At 47.7% G+C, this 23,547-nt stretch overlaps 1 protein-coding gene and 1 long non-coding RNA gene across 2 annotated transcripts in view, besides 3 other annotated features; both read right to left on the minus strand.

Annotated features, from left to right (window-relative positions):
- Positions 1–23,547, minus strand: part of SLIT1 (slit guidance ligand 1) — a 187,922-nt gene that overhangs the window by 138,436 nt on the left and 25,939 nt on the right. The window contains exon 4 of the mRNA NM_003061.3: positions 21,345–21,416. Within this exon, the coding sequence (NP_003052.2) occupies positions 21,345–21,416 (72 nt within the window). The remainder of the gene's footprint in view (positions 1–21,344; positions 21,417–23,547) is intronic.
- Positions 4,372–5,112: an enhancer, noted in NCBI's record as "H3K4me1 hESC enhancer chr10:98900602-98901342 (GRCh37/hg19 assembly coordinates)". NCBI's record gives its function as "activates a minimal SCP1, AML or CMV promoter by ChIP-STARR-seq in naive H9 embryonic stem cells {active_cell/tissue: H9 hESC(naive)}" and the evidence as "EXISTENCE:reporter gene assay evidence [ECO:0000049][PMID:30033119]".
- Positions 16,569–23,547, minus strand: part of ARHGAP19-SLIT1 (ARHGAP19-SLIT1 readthrough (NMD candidate)) — a 139,632-nt gene continuing 132,653 nt past the window's right edge. Inside the window, exons 14-15 of the long non-coding RNA NR_037909.1 lie at positions 21,345–21,416; positions 16,569–16,748 (exon numbers count right to left, since the gene is read on the minus strand). This is a non-coding gene — a long non-coding RNA (ARHGAP19-SLIT1 readthrough (NMD candidate)). The remainder of the gene's footprint in view (positions 16,749–21,344; positions 21,417–23,547) is intronic.
- Positions 21,171–21,320: an enhancer, noted in NCBI's record as "active region_3844". NCBI's record gives its function as "activates an Ori minimal core promoter by ATAC-STARR-seq in GM12878 lymphoblastoid cells {active_cell/tissue: GM12878}" and the evidence as "EXISTENCE:reporter gene assay evidence [ECO:0000049][PMID:35858748]".
- Positions 21,940–22,019: an enhancer, noted in NCBI's record as "active region_3845". NCBI's record gives its function as "activates an Ori minimal core promoter by ATAC-STARR-seq in GM12878 lymphoblastoid cells {active_cell/tissue: GM12878}" and the evidence as "EXISTENCE:reporter gene assay evidence [ECO:0000049][PMID:35858748]".

A 23,547-nucleotide genomic window follows, 5' to 3' on the forward strand; every position in this document is an offset into this window, starting at 1 on the left:
GTAATCTTTTTGTATCCTTACTTTTAGAAATCCCCCATCAAAAAACAAAACAAAGTAAAACACAACAAAAAGCTTCAGGCTCCTGCCCCCACAACAAACAAACAACCCATCTCCTTACACGAAAATAAAAAACAAACCATCTCTGCCCGGCGTTTTATAGAGTACTGATGAGCATGACTGGGTCCTCCCTGAAAGCCAGGAAATGGGCAGAAATGAGTGATCCTTCCACGTTTAACGAAGCTCCTAATTACAGAGCTTGCAAGATTTGAAGGCATACTGTCGGTGTGTAGGAGGCAACACTGTGTCCTTGTGGCATGATGAGACATGCCTGGGGGCAGTGGCCGGGTCACCAGGAACACCTCTCAACCTAGGTCCCTTCTGGATGTGAGCTGATATTAACAATGGAGACAGGAGATCAGAACAGATTGAACAGGGACAAGTCCTCCCTGTTAGAGTCAAAACGGATAACTGTCAAGGTCTCACCCTCAACAAAGACCGATGCTCTTGGAGTTAAATGAGCTGGAAAAACCAGCAAGCATCCCTCCAACCTGGACTTCACACCAAGCAGGCCTGCAGTGAGGTCAAATAAAAGAAAAAGGAAGCTGTTTGCAGATTTGACCACAATCCTTTTATCAGCATTAAAAACAACCATTTTTATTTTATTTTATTTCTTTAAAAATAATGTTTTCCTCTTCCTAAATAATAAAGGAAATCCTTTATATAGTCTGGAAAGATTAGCTATTAACTGAAGCACTTTGGAGAGAGACATCTTCGAGGCACACTCCTCTCTTGCTAGAATGAATTCCACATGCTTGATATCCAGACCAAAATTCCAGAATCTCAGCCACATTTGGTTGCCTGATTCTCTTTGTTTGGGGGGAAAAATATCTACAAATAATCAGAAAACCACATCTGGAAAATTTTGCTCTAACATATTCTAAATACAGGATGAGGATTAAGATGCTGGAAATGTAATTGTTTTATTTTGTTCCCCATATTTTCTACTGTTAGAGGGACTCTGACTTAACTATCAAGAAAAATACAAGCTTAATGTTTCTTTTCCTTCCTTCCTTCCTTTCTTTCTCTCTGTCTCTCTTTCTTTCTCTCCTTCTTTCCTTCTTTCTTTCTTTTAGACAAGGTCTCACTCTATGCCCAGGCTGGAGTTCAGGGACATAATCTCGGCTCACTGCAGCCTCAACCTGCCCAGGCTCAAGTGATCCTCCCACCTCAGCCTCCAAAGTAGCTGGGATTACAGGTGTGCCCCACCATCCCCAGCTAATTTTTGTATTTTCTGTAGAGACGGGGTTTTGTCATGTTGCCCAGGCTGGTTGCTTAATGTTTCTTGATGGTTTACCACATGTTGGGCCCCATTAACAGCATCATCTCATTTAATCTGTGCTCAACAATTTAGATTGGTTCTTGCTATGCCCTGTTTCCACATAAGAAAACTGAGTCTAAACAAGATTAAGCAACTTGCCAGGTCCCCGAGCCGGTGAGTAGCAGAGCTATTGGATTCCAGAGTCTAAACTCAACTTCCCTGTTGTGCCTGATTCCCGATTAAGATTACAGTTGATCCTTGAACAACATGGGTTTGAACTGCCTGGGTCCACTTATATTGGATTTTTTTCAGCCAGAGGCAGATGGGAAATACAGTGTTTGCAGGTTATGAAACCTGCATATACCGAGGGCTGGCATTTTACATACGCGGGTTCCGAAGGGCTGATTGCGGAACCAATCTACCAAGTACACCAGTGGCCAATTATATTTGGGTAGCACCAGAGAATATTACATGCGAAGTCCAGATGGAAGCTGCACAGTGGCCTCCCCACTTACGGGCCTCCGGGTCACCTGTGCCTTCCGCAATGTACAGCTGACACCTGCATTCACCTCCACTATCAACAGATGGCGCTTATCAGCGAGGGATGCACTCTTGCAGGGAGGCCGGGGACGGTCACCACGGTCTGTGGTCAATGTTCAAATGACCAGTTGTCCACGGCCTTCCCTTCGGGATGACTGAAGTCTCATGCCATGTCCAGCTGGCTGGGAAAGATGCTATTAAAAATCATCAATACATGAGTTCCAGGCCTTGCTTACACAAGTTTCCCGTAAGGATCTGCTCAAAATTATTTCCTGTCCTTTGTTTCCTATAAACGCAGTTGTGATTTGTAGGAAACTGTTTTTTTTTTTTTCTAGTTACCTTTAGAAGGACAAGACATTCAGACACCCAGGTGTGGTGACCAAATTTGAATATGTCTGAGACAGAGGAAGATGAGGAAGGCGATTATGCTGGAACAGCATAACAGTATAATTGATATGTGTGCATCTGTGCCTGTGAAATACAATGTTTCACTATTTGTTTCCTTTTACATTCCAGTGTTTTTTCATTTCATGGATGGGAACCAGGAGGGAAAAAGCCAGGCTGCCAACCAGCCATCAAATTCTCACAGCTTACATCACCCTCTTGAGAATCAGCAACCCGCAGCACCACCAGTCAACACTCTGCCTAAGCCCAAGACCATATCTAATCCATCCTGATATTCCCTGTGCCAGACAAATGACTGCAGGCAGCAGGCTTGTAATGAGTTGGTCGGGTGAATGAATGCATCCATGCATCCGGAGAGGGAAGCAGAGCCCAGGGTCCCCACGGCCAAGTCAGCGGGAGTGAGGCTGGAAAGGAGGGCCGCCTCTCAGCCAGGCAGCAGGCTGGGGGCCATCTCGAGAATTCAGTTACCTTCAGGAGGGACACTCACCATGGGAAACTGGAAGTACTCAGGAGTCTAAGACTAGCTGCTACTTTGCAAACATCAACCAGGAATCACATTAAGGATTCACAATCCCAGGGCCAGTAGCCTTGGAGGAGAAAGAGGCTCTCAGTGTGCTCCCCTCAAACGGAGCATCCCCATTCTCTTCTTTCCTAAATGTTTCCTAAGCACTGTGGAGAGGAGAGCTGGTCACACACACAAAGATAGGGAAATACATAAAAAGTGGCTTTGCTTTTTTGTTTTGGTTTCTAAGAGAAGAGTATTATCAACTTGATCAAGAAATAGTTGCTCTGTGACAGACAGGGTACCAAAACCCCTGTCAACAAGCACACTATCCTGAACTCTGGGACACCACTGGTTGTTTGGGGAACCTCATGGAAGCTGTAAACGTCCAAATCCAAACTGCTAAATGGCTTCCTCCAAAAACCCCCAGGTAATAAATACTGTCCCCTCTGAGAGCTGACATGTCCAAAGGATTCTCCTAGAAATGGCGTGCAGAGTTCCGGGGGCCTGGATGAATAGGAAAACCCTATCTTTGGGTCCCCTACAAGGGCACTGCATGTCAGTGTGCACACAGGGCACTGGGCCCTTGGCTCCAGCTGAACAGCTGGGGACTCCCGAAATCGGCAAAGCCTCTCACAAGGTGGGTGTCCTTGGGGGTCCAACCACGGGGTCTCAGCAAGGTGCCCATCGCCCCTCACTATGAATGGGGTAGGCAGCAGCAACAGAAGCCTCTGCTTTGTGCTGATTTCTGGCACTTAGCCTGAAGCTCCCCTCTTCCTCTCTGTCTTTCCAGGGGCCTTGCAGGGTGATGAAACCCCAGCATGGCTTTTCCTCTTCCCGCCATCCCTCACCCTGACCATGTTCCTGGGAGTGGGAACATCTCTGGCTCTGACCATGGGGAGGGTGAAAGAGTGGCCCCTGTCTCCCTGCCAAGGCGGGTGTCTCGCCACCAGAATTTATGTGCCAGCGTTCCTCGTACCAGCTTTTCCCAGGTTACCTCCCTACCCATTACTACCCCATTAGTTGCCATGTGTTTTCCCCTAACTGTCACCAGCCCACACTGCCTCTTTGTTACCCTGCAGCTCTCAGGCCGGCCCCTCCCCAACAAGGGGCTAAGCTTCAACTTCGAATTGTGAAATATTTCCTCCCTCTCTCCTGTTCCCCTCCCACCGCCCTCCTTGGGCCCCAGAGCCTTTAGTAAAACAAACCCGCCAAAGGGAATTCTCCGCTGTGTTTGCACAGCACGAGTGGGCCCCCAAGTTGCCTGGAGCCCCTCATTCTCCATAAACACACTTCCCCTCCTTATTGGTATTCAGTCGATACCTTCCTTTCTAACCCTTCCCTGCTTGGCCTCCGCGATCGGCCGACAGAAGGGCCTTTGTTGAAGGAGCAGAGGGGTACAAACACCAGGGCCCCAAAGACAACTACGTGGACTTCAAAGGGGGAAATGAGTCATTGCTCAGCGGGCGATGGCTGGGTGGGGGCAGCCCAGGGGAGAACGGGCTCCTCGGCACCTCTGGTTTTGCCCAGGGATAAACCTCCTGTGTCTCTTTACAAATCAGACATCACTTCCAAAGCGATTTGTCGATTTTTATTGTTCCAAATTTGACTCTGAAATGTGGGCCAGAATCTGGGGTCTGGTAAATATTTTGTTACACAGCTCACTGGAACCACTTTGCTAGAGGGGATGGCTTCCAACACTGAGGCTCAGGCTAGGGGACTTCCAGGCACCCACCAGCTGCCAGTTGCGTGTGTCTGTGAGCAGATTAACCATCCGAAACACCGCTTGGGTCGGCTTCTTCCCTACTCGCAAGTCCTCCACGGCTCCCTTGTCGGAGGCTCTGCATGTAAAAGCACCCCGAGGCTATCAGACCCTGGCTCCCGACGACAGCTCCAGCACGCAGTTCTGGCAGATGCGGATTCAGCCCCTCCCTGAACTCTTCCAGGAATGAGGTGACAAGCACAGCAGCCCACCCTTCAGCAGCCAGCTCGTGTCTAGGAAGCCTGCCTCGTGCAGAACAACATCCACTTCCACCCCTGGACCCAGCTTCTAGAACAAATCTGCTTCCTTGTCCTCATGACAGCCCTTCACATAGATTTGAAAATTACTCTCAGGGTTCCTCTACATTTTCTTTTCATCGCACCAAACAGCCCCAGGCCCCTTGACTCTATCCCATATGAAATGGTTTCCAGATGGCTCCCAGTGTTAGCCACCCTCCTCCAAGCATGTTCAGAGACCTCCACACAAGCACACGCGATAAAACAGATCCTGGTTCTGAACACTGTTCTCTGGATATGCTTGAATCAGCACAGACTAGAACAGGACTGCCCTCCCCTGGAGAGGACACATTGCCTCTATTAATTCAAACTGAGACTATACTCTTTTAGCCACCTTAATGCACTGTATTGCATTGTATTGTATTGCATTGCATTGTATCGTATTGTATCGTATCGTATCGTATCGTATTGTATTGTACTGTATTGTATTGTACTGTATTGTATCGTATCGTATCGTATCGTATCGTATTGTATCGTACTGTATTGTATTGTACTGTATTGTATTGTATTGTACTAGACAGGGTCTCACTAAGTCATGCAGGTTGAAATGCAGTGGCATGCTCATGGTTCACTGCATCCCCAAACTCCTGGGCTCAAGCAATCCTCCTGCTTCAGCCCTCCAGCCTCCCAGTAGTTGGGACTACAGGTGTGTACCACCACACCCAGCGAATTTTTTTGTTTTTATAGAGTAAGGGTCTCACTGATCTCTGGTCCTTGGCTGGTCTCTAACTCCTGGACTCAAGCAATCCTCCCACGTGGGCCTCCCAAAGTGCTGGGATTACAGGCATGAGACACCATGCCTGGCCTCTTAACATACTCTTGACTTAACCTTAGCTTGAAGTCATCGGCCCTTTCACAACAAATACTGCCAAACCAGATCTCTCTTCTTAAAAAAAAACAAAGTTGGAAGACTCATACCTCCCGATTTCAAAACTTACTACAAAGCTACAGTAATCAAAAGAATGTGGTACTGGCATAAAGACAGACAAATAGACCAATGGAATAGAATAGACAGCCCAAAAACAAACTCTTGCAAGTATATGTGGACAAGGGTGTCAAGATCATTTAATGAGGAAAAGACAGTCTCTTCAACAAATGATGCTGGGAAAACTGAATATCCCCATGCAAAAGAATGAAGTTGGACCCTTATCTGATACCATATACAAAAATTAATTCAAAATGGATCAAAGACCTAAATGTAAGACCTAAAACTAAAACACCTAAAAGAAAACATAAGGGGAAAGCTTCATGACATTGGACTTGGCAGTACTTTCTTGGATATGACACCGAAAGCATAGAAAACAAAAGCAAAATAGACAAATGAGACTACATCAAACTTAAAACCATGTTTGTCAAAGGACACAGTCAAAAGAATGGAAAGGCAACTTATGGAATGGAATAAAATATTTGCAAATCATATCTCTGATAAGGGGTTACTATCTAGAATATACAAAGAACTGCTGCAACTTAACAACAAAAAAAATCAAACAACCCAATTAAATAGTAGGCAAAAGACTTGAATAGAAATTTCTCCAAAGATGATACGCAAATAACCAACATAACTAATCATGTTGTGCTCAACACAACTAAGATGCGCAAACTAGTCATCAGAGAAATGCAAATCAAAACCATGATGACATATCACCTCATTAGGATGGCTACTGTTAAAAAAAAAGAGAAAATAACAAGTGTTGGCAAGGATGTGGAGAAATTGGAATCCTTATGCACTGATGGTGGGAATGTGAAATGGTACAGCTGCTATGGAAAGCAGTATGACACTTACTCAAAAAATTAAAAATAGAACTGCCATATGATCCAGTCATTCCACTCTGGGTGTATATCCAAAAGAATTGAAAGCAGGGTCTCAAAGAGGTACTTGTATACCCATGTTCATAGCAGCACTATTCACAATATCTAAGAGGTAGCAGTAACCCAGCTGTCCATCACAGATGAATGGATAACCAAAATGTGGGGTATACATATAATGGCATACTATCCAGCCTTAAAATGTAAAGAAGTCCTGGCGCATGCTATAGCACAGATGAACCTTGAGGACATGATGTTAAGTGAAATAAGGCAGGCACAAAAAGACAAATGCCATGTGATTCCATTCATATGAGGTATCTAAAGTAGTCAAATTCATAGACACAGAAAATAGAATGGTACCTACCTGAGGCTGTGGGGAGAAGGGAATAGACTTTCAGTTTTGCAAAATGACAAAGTTCTGGAGATCTGTTTAACATGAATGTGAACATATTTAACACTACTAAACTGGACACTTAAAAAGAGTTAAGACAGTAAGCTTTATGTGTTTTTATCACAATTTTAGAAAAGCCACTATTGATGAGAGGTAGGACAGCCTAGAACTGGAAAAAAAGGAGGGATGGGGTTTGGGTTTCAGTGGAGCAGAACCGAGTTGCAGATACATCAGGGAATGCTGAAGAGTCTTTGTGAATATGAACATTAATGCTTCATTTACGTACAACAACCTCTGCTGCCTCCACGAACTTCTAATGCCAAGATAACCTGAAGTCCCAAAGTAACGATACTGTATGTATGTTCTAGGAAGGACTTTTGATGCTCAGAGGTTCAATGTTAAAGTTAAGATTAGATTAAACAGGCTGAGCGCAGTGGCTCACACCTGTAATCCCAGCACTTTGGGAGGCTGAGGTGGGCGAATCACCTGAGGTCAGGAGTTCAAGACCAGCCTGGCCAACATGGCGAAACCCCGTCTCTACTAAAAATCCAAAAATTAGCTGGGCGTGGTGGCGGGTGCCTGTGGTCCCAGGTACTCAGGAGGCTGAGGCACAAGAATCTCTTGAACCCGGGAGGTGGAGGTTGCAGTGAGCCGAGATAGCACCATTGCACTCCAGTCTAGGCGACAGAGTGAGACTCCATCTCAAAAAAAAAAAAAGATTAGATTAAGCAGAGATCTATTCCAGTTAAGAATTCATGAAAAAGGTAAGGCACTGTATCCAGGGGTTTATTTCTTCAAATCTTGCTCTGTTATAGATCAAGAATTTAAGGGTAGTAAGTTCTAATTCATGTTAATATTCATGCCAAGTTAATCTAATGAAGAACTCTACATTTAAAGCCAACTCTTGGGAAATGCATTCAGAGAAAGAGGCTGTAGCCATTCTTCTTCCAGTGTATGAAGTCACTACCCCATTTTCAGTCTATAAACCAAAGAAAGGAGAGACTTCAGGAGTAAAGCTCTCAGGCGGCAGGCTAAGCTGCCTGCCAAATCCTGAGTGCACTGAGGCAAGATGCAAAGGGGAGCTCTGTCCCCCACAGAGAAGACAGGCAGTGGAACTGAGGGCAGGCCCCGCTAAGTCAGAGACAAGCAGGGAGGTGACCTGCAGGCTCCCAGGCCCAGCCTGCAACCTCCCACTGAAGCCAGGATGAAGCGGGAGCCAGCAACCCCCCAGCCAAAACCAACTTGTGAGAACTTCTAGGACAGCAAATTGTCCTCAGCATCCAAGCAATGCGGCAGGACAGGACATGTCCACCTACCCCTCTATCACTTGCAATGGTTTGGGTGATGATCATAATCACAATACCTGCACTACATGCTCCATACAATCACCCCCAATCTTCATAATATCCCCCAACACTTTACAGATGAGGAAATAGACACAGAGAGGTTAGGTAACTTGTCCAGAGCCCCACAGATAATCAGTACCCAGGATCACTGGAGGAAAAGAGAGGACTCAATGCCAAGGAACCTAACTTCCAACTGGAAGAGCCAGCAGAGCTGCCTTTGGGGTGCTCCTGGGCTGGGGTGGTATGTGGGGGCATGTACAGTATTATTATTAAATGATGTACAGTATTATTGTTATTATTACTATTATTATTATTATTTTGAGACAGAGTCTCACTCTGTCACCCAGGCTGGAGTGCAATGGTGCGGTCCCGGGTTCAAGCAATTCTCCCGCCTCAGCCTCCCAAGTAGCTAGGACTACAGGCGCCTGCCATCACACCCGGCTAATTTTTGTATTATTAGTAGAGACAGGGTTTCGCCCTGTTGGCCGGGATGGTCTCGAACTCCTGACCTCGCGACCCACCCTCCTTAGCCTCCCAAAGTGCTGGGATTACAGGCGTGAGCCACTGTGCCTGACCTATTTTCATGCTGTCCATTTTTCCTACATGGAAAGCACTTCCTTTCAGATGAGCATCCACCTCAACAGGCTCTGGTCAGGCACAATTCTGATGTGAGAAGCCTGACCCCTCTCTGCCGGGCTGTAGTCCACTCTCGTATGCAGGATCCATGTGAGGGTCCACTCGTGACAGGCCACTCATCAGCTCCAACAAATGGCCAGATAAAGGTCAGCATGTGGCTGGACCCGAGAAGACTGAGGGAAAAAGAGCCAGAGATTAAGACTTGGGTATGGGGTTATCAGTTCCTTACCTTCCCTTTATCCCCCTCTCTCTACTCCAAAGCTCCTGCAAGAGCAGGAGACACTCAGACCTCCTCTGAGACAAAGATAAGGCTTCTCCAAGATGCTCCACATAAACACTGGGGCCAAAGCCAGACAGACTGCGGCAGTGAGGAGCCCAGGGCTCCTTGCCCTACAGCATGGGATGGAGGAGGTGGGGCAGGAACAGGCCCAAACGCACAAGACAGTAATTCCCGGCCATGTCACCAAAAAGATGCCTTTTGATACTTTTCCCACCCCACCCCAAACCCAACATTTGAAAGATCTGAGCTATTATATTGGTTAATAATGTATCTTGCCATATTTGCATTACTCAAGAGCTGATTAATCAACTGTGAGCCAGGGTTTCTCATTAGCATCAGAGAGCCAGTGTTGCACCACCAAACTGATTCCAAACTATAGGATTCCAGCCCCAAATCAAAGACTACATTGAAGTGATCACATTTTGCCTTAGGGCACACACTGCAAAGAGCTTGAGGAACCCCATCGTTACTTCTTTGAGCTCCTCAAGATCCACTGATGCCTGGCTAAAAATTACAAATACAAACCTGGGTCACGGCTTAAGGGAAGGGTCTAACTAGGAGGTGGTGAGTCCTGGCCCATCCTAACCAAAAATTGAGTTGGTCAAAACCTACCATGTACAAGTCATCACTGCATCCCTGAGTCCAGCCTGGCACCAACTCATGCCCGTCTCTACCCACTGAAAGGACCATGCTTCCTCTTGGATCCCCTTCTCCCTTGACTCCCTCCTCAAGCTTTCCCTGCCTCCCAGGAAACAGGGGCCTTCTTTAGGGCTCTGTGACTACCCACACAGAGAGGTACCCCAGCCCCCCCCACTGAACACCTCCCAGTAGATTTTATTTATCCTGCAAGCCAGCACTAAACCCTAAATAACTGCCTTCATGTTTCTGGACCACAAGTCCAGGCCAACCACAGGTCAAGTAAAACAGAAGTCAGCTGGAAAGTTCTGAGTCTACAAAATCCATGAAGCTGGAGCCCAGCACAGACCCATAGAGCCCCAAGCCCTGAAATCAGACAGCAAGAAATGGGCGGCGCCCCTTTTTTCAGCCTTCGGACAGTGTCTGCCACCAGAAAGAAACCACACTTGCCAGCCTGCTAACCCCACTTGTGCTGGGGAAACAAGAACGACTCCTGCCTGAGCCTCTGTCCAATCTGGTGGAAAAGGCATTGCCTTCTCTGGTGGAGAAGGCAAAGAGCTATGAGGAGCATTGTGGGGGCTCTGACAGAGGCTCAAGCAACTGCTAAAAGGGCACTGAGAGGTGGAGGTAACCTACTGTCCATCAACAGCTGAATGGATCAACAAAATGTGGTCTATCCAAACAGTGGAATATTATCCAGCCATTAAAAAAAAATGACATTTTGATATGTGCCGCAACGTGGATGGACCTCAAAAGTGCTATGTTAAGTGAAATAAGCCAGTCACAGAAGGGCAAATCCTGTATGATTCCATGTCTGTGATGTACTGAGAACAGGCAAAGTTTTAGAACCAGAAGAGAAGTAGCCAGGAGCTGCAGGGAGGGGGATGAGGAGCTATTGCTCAATGGGTACAGAGTTTATATTGGGGATGTTGAAAACATTTTGGGTATAGATAGTGATGATGGTTACACAACATCGTGAATGTATTTAATGCCACTAAATTGTGCACTTACAAATAGCTGAAATGATAAATATTATGTATATTGTACCATGATTTTAAAAAAGTGTTACAAAGGAAAAAAAAGAGGGCACTGGGGAGGCAACAACCAATTTTTTCTGGGGAGGGAGAAACTGAGAAGCTGTGATGGGAAGGTGGCATTTCAGGCAACCTGTGGGAGACCCAGGTGAGGCAGAGGTGGCCCATCTGTCCCTCTTGTTCATGGCTCAGGTTCAGAGAGCTGGGAGGGGGGGGAAGGAGGCCTTTGTGGGGGGCGACTGAGGCTCACTCTCCACTAAGTCGCCCCACTCTTCAAGAATACTCCATGGCTTCCTCTTCCTATTACCCATCCAAACTCTTCATTCTAGAACATTTCTAGGTCTAGAGCCCATCTACACTCCCTTCCAGGCTGAGCTCACACAACACTCTAGAACTGTGGGGCCCCTGCTCACAGGGAACTGCATTCCCACCCCTGTGTCTGCACAGCTGCTCCTTCCACTGGAGTCCAGTTCTTCCTCTTCACCCTCCTGTGTCTCCCATACCCTTCGATACCTTGAAACCCACCTTCCCAGAAGACTCGTGAGCAGTCTCTTTCTTCTTGCTGTTTCTCTATTTTCTCCCATTTTCTACAATGAAAAGGGTGTACAGCATGGTGAAGAAGAGCACACCCTCTGGGTAGCACTTCCTGTACTCCAAGCCTGGATCTGCCAACAACTAGCTATGCAACCAATTTACTTAACCTGCCCTCAATTCTCCTGCCTATAAAAATGGGAAAATAATAGCACCCATTGCATAGGACCATGACAATTAAAATGAGAAAATGCACATAAAGTTTTTGGCACATGAGTGCTTAACAAACAGTAACTATCATTATAATAATTACATATTGCTTTAGTACTAAGCTTTTTTTTTTTTTTCCTGAGGCAGGGTCTCGCTCTGTCACCCAGACTGGAGTGCAGTGGCACAGTCATAACTCATTATAACCTCAAACTCCTGGGCTCAAGCGATCCTCACACCTCAGCCTCCTGAGTAGCTGGGACTACAGGTGCACATCACCATGCCTAGCTATTTTTTCTTATTTTTTGTAGAGCCTATGCTGCCCAGGCTGGCCTCGAACTCCTGGCCACAAGCAATTCTCCCATCTCAGCCTCCCAAAGTGTTGGGATTATAAGCGTGAGCCACCATGCCTGGCCTAAAACTTTATTTTTTTAAAATTTTGCATGTTAGCTCAATCACCTTTAAATGCCTTAACTAGAAAACTAAATCCCTTATCTCCTATCATTCTTTGCTTTTCGCTATTTTTCAAATGTTCACTTTCTAGCAAAATTATTTTCATAATTTTTATTTTAAAATCGTATGCTTTCAAAGAAATTTTATTTTTAATATGTTTTAATTGACAAATAATATTTGTGTAACTTTTGAAATGATTTTTCTAAAATCCTCACCTCCCTAAAAGTTATTCACAAGAGCCCGTTCCTGCACGCACGCCTCTCTATTCAGAATCTTCCCAATGGTTACGAATTCCGTTTGTCTCACACCAATTTTTGTAATGCTGTAGGAGAGGACCAGTGGCTTTTCATGCCTTTGAGCCCCTGTAAGTGCAGGGCACACCGCGTTTGCCAGGCATTCTCTCGGGATGACCCACTGACCGCTCGCCACCCCCCCGTGGCCCTCCTTCAGGCCCCGGGCTCCCTTGGCTGTCCAAATTTGTAAAACCCTGTGTGGTTCTTAGCCAGCAGGGGCAGAGCTGGATTCAAAGCCCACAGCCAGGCACCAGGGCTGTGTCTAGGACATTCATCCATGCTGGGCGCATCAGCCCGCTCTGGCGAGCAGATGTCAATCTGAGGCCGGCCGCCCTCTTCCCGGAGACTCCCGTGCCGGCCCAGTGGGACGCTCGCCTCTTTCACTTGAGCCTTGACAGCAGGCGCAGATTTAATGATTGGAAAGCACTTCGAGAATCCAGAGTGCTCCATAATTGCCAACTCATAATCCCCAAATTGTTCTCTGTGTAGCTGCAGGAGGTGAAGCGTCTGCGCTTGGGGCCTTCCCTTACTTAGCATGGCTCTCACATTGAACCGGGCGGGGCAGAAGCAAAGAGGAGCTCTACCCAACAGGAAGCCCCTCCTAAGACTCACCATGCCTGACGGGGAGCAAGGCTTCTCAAGCACGAGCCAGATAAAGAGAGGTTTGATGATGCAGATTCTTGGGCCCTTCCACACTGACTGACTCAGAATCTCTGAGTGTGACCCTGGGAATCTGAATTTTAATAAACTCCCCACTGAGACAACTCTTAATCATACTCTAGTTCAAGGACTGGCAGTTTGAAGGTAAGTATGTGGGTTTGGGGTCAGGTGGGCCTGGGTTCGAATCTCAGCTCTGATTCTTACTGTCTGAGACTTCCGCAAGTTACTTAATACTAGGCTGATGTTAAAAGGTATTCCCCGAAAAAATAAATTTTTTGAGGTTCACAGTCAGATATGTTTGGGAGACGCAACATTCCACATCTGCCCTGGGAGCTGTATGGCGCACATTAGCGTGTTAAATGGGCTGAATAGTCCTTGACGAAGGACTCTGCTTGGCCCAGCTCTTCCCCAAATTGTTTAACCAAGGAAGCTCCTTTTTACCATTAATGCCAGGAACATCTCAATATCTTGAAGGACAAAGCTAGTGAAATTCCTTTCTGGGAAAGGGAAGTCTAAGGAGTGATGGACCGCCATCTCAAGGAGTCCCCAGAGGACTCTGGCAGGAAGGAGGCTCTGGCTGGGGAGGGGCGGCTGGGAGCCCCGTTCTCGTGTGCTGGTGTCTCGGGGCATGGCTGGCTCAGTTCTGCAGTTCTGCTGCCTGGCATGGATGCGTCACAATAGCGAGGTCACCTTCTTGCCTTGGGTAATTTCCCTCAGAGGCAAAACAGATCCATTTTTAACAGCTCTTCATTTCAGCAGAGAATGCCCTCCTGCCTCTGATGGGGGCTGGGGACCAAGACGGGAAGGGAAGCTTTGTTCTTCTGACCAGTGCTGACAGTTTAATTAAACCCAGCTTGAGACAGGGTCGATAGGGTCAGGCATTCTTCAGCAGGGCTCCTGTGAATCTCATATCCACGCCTCTCCAACCACCAGGGCCCTGTTAATGAGTTATGGTGGTCCTTACAGCAGGGATATAAATAAGGGGAAATAAATGCCCTGGGCTGCCCTTAATCACCCACCCCCACCCCTTCCAGGCCCAGCAGAGACACAAAAGGTCAATCTTGTTGGGACACATATTGGTTTCAAGGCTAAAAGGAAGCCCAGAGGAACTGGGTTTCCAGAAGCAGCTTCTGGATGACGAGGGGATCAGCAAGAGCAGAGCTGCACGGCAGCAGAGATCCTCCCCAGATTGGAGGCCAAGGAGGCGGCATGCGTGGTGGGCGGACACCCTGCTCCCCACCTGAACCTGGTGAAGACTGAGTTTTGCTGCTGTAAGAAGCAATCAGGTTTCCAGCATATCCCTCTAACCTTCAACTTAACACCTGTGTATGTCCATGGAAACAACATCTCCACATCCTCTGAGGGTTCACTGTCAGGTGACGGAGCTGACCTCCAAACCTAGGTAACCCCCCACCAGGGTATACCTGCCCCCCCGCCGGAAGGAGATATAGGTCCAGCCAGTGCAGCACCTGCCCCCACCCACTCCAATCTGCTGATAGGTCAGAGGGTGGCAGGCTGCTCTCAAAGAGCACTGATGACAGACCTGTCACCTCCTAAGAGGCAGGGCCACACTCATCCATCTTACCTAGACATCACTCCAAGGGTTCACAGTACCTAACACAGAGCCTGGCCCACAGGAGGCCCTCAGGAACTATTGGATCAGTGGGTGGGTGAGTAGAAGATGGAAGGTGAGCAGGAGCGAATACAGGGGTGGAGGAAGGTGGGGAGGAGTTGGGAGATAGAAGGGTATCTGGGTTTATAGGTAGGTTGGTAGATGCGTACGTGGGAGGGGGAGGGTTGATGGGTGGGGGTGGGAGAGTGGATGGATAGGCAGGTGGTGAGTGGGTGGGGAGTGCTGGATGGGAGAATGGATGGGAGGAGATGGGGGATGGAGGGATGGGTCAGGAGTAGGGAGAGAGATGGGTGGGTTGACTGATGGGTTGGTAGATGGTGGGAAGGTAGATGGGAGGTGAAGGGCAGTGGTTGATAACTAGGTGGATGGACAGATGGGTGGATGGGTGGAGGGGGTGGATGGGTGAGGCAGGCTAGGGGTGGTATGTAAGGATGAGCTTTATTGTCAGACAGACTGGGGTTCACATTTGGCTTAGCCCCTTGGATGTGTCACATACCCGCTGAGCTTGCATTTCTTTATCTGTAAAATTCGGAAAGTGCTGACCTCGTAGAGTGTTCTGATGATGAAATCAGGTATATCTGTAAGTTGCTCAGCATGAGCCTGGCACACAACAACCTTCCATTCTTTCTAACCGTTACTATGATGATTGCAGTCCCTGAGACCTTTCATGAGGCCCTGGGAGAGTGAGGCAGTGAAGGAGGTCATGGGGCAGGTTCACTTCTGCAGTGGGGTTGGGGAAGGGGGTGTGCTCTCTTCTGAAGAGGTGTGAGTGCTGCTCCAGCCCACCCTCAATGGGGGCATCCCTGGGGAAGTACAGAATACATATGTAATTTCAGGGCACCAATAAATGCCTCCAGGGCAGCATCACCTACTTGCTCCATGTTTGCTCTCCCTGGCCTGCTCAGGAAAGTGCCCAAGAGGACAGAAAGCATATCTCCCACATCCTCAGCCCGGGCACTGACTGTGCCAAGGTCACGGCCCTCCTGCCCACCACATGCCAGCCTCCCTCCACAGCCTCCTCAGGGTGTCTCTGCAGGGTCACCTAAGCCCCTCGAGAAAAAAAAACAAAACCCTGTTGGGGGAAGGTCCCTGCAAATTGAGGGGATGGTTGTGAGTTAAGAGTGGTGAGGTTGAGTTGGCACAAGGGACAGGGGAAGCCAACATCAATATGGGACGCAGGTCCAGGTGCAGGTCACGCTGGGGCTGCACCACCCTCCGAAGTAGCCCTGATGTGGACTCATCTGACATTTCCTGGGCACCTCCCGTGTGCCACAGTGTTCATGTCTGACACAAGAGAGTGTCACAGCTCTCTTTAATCGTCACATCAGCCCCATGAGGCAGCCAGCCCTTACTATCTGTATCTCACAGAAGAGCAAACAGGCTCGGTTAAAGGAAACGCTGCAACATCGTATCACAGGCATTTGCTTCACCTCAGACTACAGAGGCTTTTCACTTCTTATTTAAAAACTGGGAGGTTTCCTACCGTAAACGTAACACATGCTTCTTAAAGAACATCTGAGACACAGAAGAGAAAAAAGCCACCCACAGACAATCCCTGTTGGCATTTTCCAGGTATGTTTTCATGCATTATTTAGAGTGATTTATCAAGTGGTCATATTGTCAATGCAGTTTGGAATCCTGGCTTTTGATATCAAACACATGTATCTGCATTACTTGACATCTTTCATAAAGGCCATTTTTGATGATGGTATAAATATTCCATCAAGTAGATACATCATCATTTACTTCATCATGCCCCCAATGTTGGACATATATGTTATTTCCATATTCTTTTCATTATTCTATATTTCAATATTCTAAATAATACAGCAACGAACATGTCTGTGCTCATGCTTTATTATTTCTTTAGGGCAGATGCCCAAATATGAGATTCCTAGGTCAAGGTTTAAGACCATTTTCAGGCTCTTCAGGGCCCCTAGAAGGCCTGGTGTCTAATTCCAACCCTATTGTCAAGCTGCTCTGTGGTCCAAGGCAAATCACCTCTCTGAGCCATAGATCCTGCATAGGAAAGAAATAGACAGACTAACCTCACAGCAGGGGAAACATTCGTGCAGAATAACCCCTAACAGGATTTTAACTTCTGGAGGCCACACAGACAAAATCAACTGAAATGTGGGCTGCGCCACCACCTACAGACTTGGTGACCATGCCTTACCCAGCACATTTGGTCTCTCTCAAACCCATTTTCATGCTGATTTAGCATAACAGCCTGTGCATGAAAGTCCATAATTTGCTCCAGATGGGAAGAATTAGTAACAGATCCCTACAAAGCAAAGGGGAGGTCAACAAGTGAGAGAACAGGAATGCCAGGCACTGCCTTCTAAGGGAATAGGTCCCACTCCAGCTCCTGAGATAGTGTGGGCACCATAGTGTTGCTGCACCAGCGGATCCCACAATCCCTGCCAACAGCTCACTGGCCTGGTGTGACCTCTTGACCTAAGATGGGCCAATCAGATTCACTCTCCCAGAAACCCGGAGTTGGGGCCTGAGACGCTGTGTGGATCTGAGCTCCGAGGTCACAGGAAGTAGGAGGCAAATTGGCACCATGGCTGACCTGAGTCATGATGGAATCGAGATGCTGCTGATGATCCTAGAACACTGGTTTGCAGGGAAGAGCAGGACAATAAGGCAGATATTCAGAAATAACGAGAAATGGCCCTCACATCTCAGTGCAGGTCCCTGGGAGGGCCAGCTGGATCTCACCTCCTGCTCTGGGAGCCTGGGAGCCTGCCAGCTGTGCCCCTACAAAACCCCGCCTCTACCTTTACCATCACCAGCCGGCAGGGTATTCTGTTTCTGGAACCAAGCGTGCCGAGTACTCCTTGGCCAGACCAACTGGGGGAGTTAACAGAGATACTTTAGAATGCCAGGTGCTCAGGTCAATAGAATGGGGCAGGGCGGATGCGTACACAGTAATATTAGAAGAATATTAACAAGTAGATCTTTAAACACTTGCTCCTCTATCCTTCCCTATAACCATCTCCAAGGTGAAGAACCCGGTAAGCCCAGACACCAGGGACGAACAACCAGATAAATAAGGTTTGTTGAATCATTTCCCCCAGACAGTGCCCGTTTTGAGATGTGACCTGGTGGCCACCAAATGCCTTGGCCTCAGTGCAAACTAAGCAGGGCACACTGCCTGGGAGTCCTCCAAGAGCCCTGCAGGAGTCCTCTCGGTTTGCATGCCTTGCTTACAGATGAGGTTAAGAAATGTCAAGGGGAAAGCTAAAGAAAAGTCTGCCTTCACCCAAATCCTGCTATGCTCCTGGATGAGAAATGTTTCCTGCTGAGAGTAAAGGACCTGATGCCTGGAAAGAAAAGACAGTAAGTGTTAGGGAGAAGTTCTGGCTCTAGAGCCTAGAAACACCCCCCCAAAGGGCTACCAAGACTTCCACTGCCCTCCTGGAAGTCCCTCTGTTGGCTGCCAACCAGCCCCCTCCCGAAAGCAGCTGGCCTGGGACCACTGCAATGAGGACACCCAATGTGTCTAGAGGCTTCTGCCTCCCAGCCCCATAGGGTGCCAAGAGCAGGTATCATACAGAGTGCTGTCCTCTGCAATGGCTTTTTGCTCCTTGATTTAATCTTCTTGTGCCAGCCTTTGGTTATAGAATCTGGCTATTTAATACTCATTAAAATATAGATGTCCTTTCCTCTAGGACTCCTGTAAAATATGAAACCATGAAGAGGGCGGGCCTAGGAGTCAGAGGGCTTCATCCTGACTCTCGGGAAGTCACTTCCTCTTTCCAACCTGTCTCGCTGGCAGTAACAGTGGGAGACATTGCTTGCCTCATGGCCACATGTGTCAGACAAGATATCAAGCACAGGAGCACCTGCTTCACCGAGGGGCTATTTGCTCACCCTGAGTTATCAGGGGCATGATGGATGAACATCCACTGAGGGCCAGCTGCAGGCTTGGTTATGTTACATGCACAGTCCCAGTTCAGACTCCTACTAGCCCTACCATGTATGGGTAAGAGAAATGGGCTCTGAACAATTAAACCACCCAAAGTTATGCCTTGAAAAGCCCAGGACCACCTGACCCTTGACTTTCTGCTTCCCAGGCCACCTTCCATTCCAGGGGGGATCCAGGTTTCCCAGACACAGGCCAAGGAGGCAGCCAAGTTGTCATTTTCCTCAGGAAGGAACACAGGTGTGTGCAAGGCACCAATGTCCAAAGAGAAGGGTGGACTCGAGTAAAGGAGGGAGGGAGTCCCCTGCAGAGCTACCCTTTACCCCCAAGGGCTGGTGGAAGGTTATGACAAAAGAAGTCAGCTCCCCGCTAAAAATGAATATGGCTGGAGATGATCTCAAGTAAAGGGCTGGAAGTTGGTGGATTCAGATTTACATGATGGGTCTTGGAGATTTTAAAATCAATGAGGGAGAGTGAAAGTGGGCACCCAGAGCTTGACGGCAACTGTACAGTATACATATGCCTTGATCCCAGCAAGGTAGAGGGCAACGGATCACTATGGGAAGGAGAAGGGACCCAAGTAGGCAAATCATGCCAGGAGAGCAAGGGCAAAAGCTTGAAAGGTTAAGAGGACATAGGAGGGGGAAAGAATTGCACAATTGAGACCAAGAGAAAAGACATTCAAGAAGAATTTTTGCAGAAAGGCAGAGCTGTGATAACACTTGCAAGTCAGCAGAGAAAGAACAGCAGAGAGAAAACAGGAGTTGCTGGGGCCAAGGCAGGGCAAGGCCAGATGCTTGCATGTGGCCAGCAACAGCATGGACCACATAGACCAGTGCATGGCCCACAGGTTCAACAGACATTACCACGGAGGCACCTGCTGGGAAGAATCTTCTGCCTTTCGCAATCAAGTAGGGAAAAATTAAGCACCCACTGTGTATGCCTGGCACAGAATGGATTGGCCAACCTATCAGTTACAGGAAAACTGGAGGAGAAGGCCCAACTCAAGCCCAAGGGTGGTGGCAAAGACCAGCAAAAGAGATCATCACTAAAGGTCACTGTGGAGTGGTCTCCAGGCCAGGAGGAGGAAGCAACAGGAAGTGACCAGAAAGACCATTCCAACAGACTGAAAATTAGAGTTCCATTGTAAAGACAAAAGCTTGGCCAGGTGCAGTGGTTCACGCCTGTAATCCCAGCACTTTGGAAGGCTGAGGCTGGTGGATCGCTTGAGCCTAGGAGTTTGAAACCAGCCTGGGCAACATGGCAAAACCCCGTCTCTACAAAAAATTAAAAAATTAGCCAGGCATGGTAGTGCATACCTGTAGTCCCAGCTACTCTGGAGGCTGAGGTGGGAAGATCACTTGAGCCCAGAAGATTGAGGCTGCAGTGAGCCAAGATCGTGCCACTGTATTCGGCCTGGGTGACAGAGCAACATCTCGTCTCAAAAATAAGTAAATAAAAGTTTGAAGGTAAGATCAACAACAAATTCTGGAGATCACTGGGCTTACAGAGAGGTCTAGAAATCATGGCAGAGGCAGAAAGAACTAGCTGTGTTTAATCAGAGGAGACAAAATCAAGCCCCAGACTCTAGGAGCCCATGGTCAGACCCCTTAGCACTCAGGTAACCTTAGGGTGCCACTCTCACCCAACCCACACCCCTCAGTCTTACCTACATTGCTTATTACCCCTTTCTCTACCTAGGTGCTGACCCATAGCTCCTTCAGGGACGAACCAGTAGTGCTGTGCCAGGCATGCAGAAGGCCCTGCCGGTGGCTCTTAAGGTTATTAATGACAACAATTAAGGGAACTAAAAAACATCCCAACTCAAAATTCAAAAACCTGACAGCTCTTCAAAAACTAGGTAGTTATAGAAAGCAAAACTGAGAAATATGTAAGTTACTGGAGAGCAGATTTAGGGCCCAAAGTTAAAAATTTTCTAATTTACTTATTTGTCCAGTGATAGAGTTGATTGTCTGCAGAGGTGGTGAGCTCCCCATCACTAGAGGTAGCCAAGCAAAGACTGTGGGACCATATGCTAAGGAGCTGCAGAAGAGATTCCTTAGATAATCTCAAAGGTCTTGTCCAACCCAATTCCCATAAAATGAAATATATGGTAGAAAAATTACAGACACATGTGGCAAATCATGGTGCAGCAGAATTAGCAACTATCCTTCGAACTTGAAAGAAGTACATTGACAATACATAAAAATATGATCTTATACCATGGTTAATAACCTTACAGACCTCATGGCCCTAAACGGTAGAAAGAGCTGAAAATAGAAATAGGTTCAAGAAGGGCTTAGTTGAATGAGTAAATATTCAGCTCCAGGCAGGTTACTAAAGGCGCAGTGAGATGGGTAAGAATGAGCCCCTGTAAAGGCTGGCATCACCGTCCACAAGCATGCCTGCCTGCAGAACACCCTTGTACCCACACTGTCAGCGGCAGCTCACAAATCTGGATGAACTGCGGGTTCTTCCAAGTGCTTGCCATGGAGAAATACCCTGCACAGCACCTTCCTACAGAAAGGGCCTGGCCTTTGATGCCCTGGACCATTCCTGCCAGGGGAGGAGCACAGGGTCAGGGTCATGGGAATATCCAGGCCCCACTGACCAAACACTGTGCCTCCCACAGGGTGAGAGACAAAACCACAGGGAGAACTCTCTGGCCACAGAGCGTCACTCACAGTCTTGACAAAGCCTGGTTGTTCTGGAACAGCAGTTCCGGTAACATGTGCAGCTGGTTTCGGTTCAGTCGCCTATAAAAGAGAAGAAGAATTGGAAATCACCTAGACAGCCAGGAAATCCAAAGGACTTCTCAGAAAGCACAAGATGGATTCAGAGGCAGAAGGTCCAGTATTCAAATCCTAACAGGGTCCATGTGGCATCCCAGGGAAATTACCTTCTCTGGGCCTCAGTTCTTCATCTGTAAAGTGGAGATTCCACCACCCAGCACGAGGGGAGGATAAGAACAGAGTGTCTGCGGAAGCCCCTCACCAGCACCTCTCCTTCCACTACTTCTTCCCATAGCCATCATCATCATCACTTCACATTTGCAAGCCCTGTGTGGTTTCTAAGGCACTGATTCCAATGCTGTTTCCCTTTGTGAGTTGGAAACCTGACTACACTTGAAATGGGAGACATACCCTAATGGCCACACAGCCCTGATTTCATCCACATTTGGCTCAACAGAGGTTTCACTTTTTTTTTTATTGTTTGCTTTGGGTCTTTTTTCAAAATGAAAATAGCAGCTGGGCGCAGTGGCTCACAACTGTAATCCCAGCACTTTGGGAGGCCGAGGCGGGCGGATCACCTGAGGTCAGGAGTTCGAGGCCAGCCTGGCCAACATGGTGAAACCCCGTCTCTACTAAAAATACAAAAATTAGCCAGGCATGGTGGCAGGCGCCTGTAATCCCAGCTACTCGGGAGGCTGAGGCAGGAGAATCGCTTGAACTCAGGAGACGGAGGTTGCAGTGAGCCAAGATTGCACCACTGCACTCCAGCCTGGGCGACAGAGCGAAACTCTGTCTCAAAAAAAAAAAAAAAGAAAGAAAGAAAATAGTTTTATTGATTATTTTTATCATTAATAAAAATGCATGCTCAGCCAGGCATGATGGCATGCACCTGTAATCCCAGCAACTCGGGAGGCTGAGGTGGGAGAATCACTTGAACCAGGGAGGTGGTGCAGTAAGCTGAGATCACGCCACCGCACTCCAGCCTGGGCAACAGAGTGAGACTCTGTCTCAGAGAAGAAAAAAAAAGCATGTCAAATGGCTCCTGCCTGTAATCCCAACACTTGGGGAGGCTGAATGAGAGGATTGCTTGAGGCCAGGGGCTTCAGATTTGCCTGGGTAACAAAGAGAAATAACTAAGAGAAACGTCATCTCTACAAAAAATACAAAAAAATTAGCTGGGCATGGTAGTCCAGGCTTGTAGCCCCAGGGGTGTCTGAGGGGTCTTAGAACAAATCCCCCATGGATACCAAGGGACAACTGTATGATAAACCATCTCAGCCAAAAGCTTACTTCCAGAGGGAAGGGGAAAAACTTAATTCCATGTAGCCAGCAGTAATTGGTCTGTGGTTACCTCCTAGAAGGTCATCCTTCATCTAATATGTGAGAAAGGCCATTGCCACCACATTGGGCACCGCCATGTTCCCCAAGGTACAGACAATTAAGTCAACTTTTGCAGACCCACTGGAAGTTTACTTTTAAGGGCAGGCTCCTAGGGAAACACTTCATTGCCTTGGGGGGATAAAATCATCAATACAATCCTTAAAGCAACAGGAGTAGACATCAGATAGCTCCAAATTCTTTATCCTTGGTCCAGTAAATTAATCCTGTATTTACACTGCCTGGTAACCACTGGTTTTGTTTTGTTTTCCCCCAAGACTTTCTCATTTTTCTGGCTTCTGCTTCTGAAAATTATTTAGGAGGAAAAAGGGATTCAATGCCTAGTTTAAAATGGAAAATTAAAGGACACTAAAGAAGGGACTCCACATGGCGAGGGACATGAAGTTTACTGAGAATGATAACAGTAGTCATGGCCACCATCATAATCAGCCCTTACTATGTGCCAGGCATGGGGCAAATGCATTAGGGGCATGAGCTCATCGCGGGCGGGAAAGCGGAGCGTAAAGGTGGGCCTCTTTCTCTTGAAAGTGACAACAGCACTTTGCATTCGTGCCCTCACCCTCCTGACTCTCAACAAACACCCCCCACAGAGGTTTCCTGCCACCACTGCACCACGTGGCTTGGCTCTTCATAGGTGCCCAAGATAGGTTTGCTGACTTTGTTGAGTTGCTCATCTTTGAAAGATGAGAGAATAGGGGTACCAAGAGGTAAGTGACTCGCCCAAGCCATTACTGAATGGTAGATGTGGGATCTTGAA

The sequence above is a fragment of the Homo sapiens genome, chromosome 10, assembly GCF_000001405.40.
Source record: "Homo sapiens chromosome 10, GRCh38.p14 Primary Assembly".
Taxonomy (NCBI): domain Eukaryota; kingdom Metazoa; phylum Chordata; class Mammalia; order Primates; family Hominidae; genus Homo; species Homo sapiens.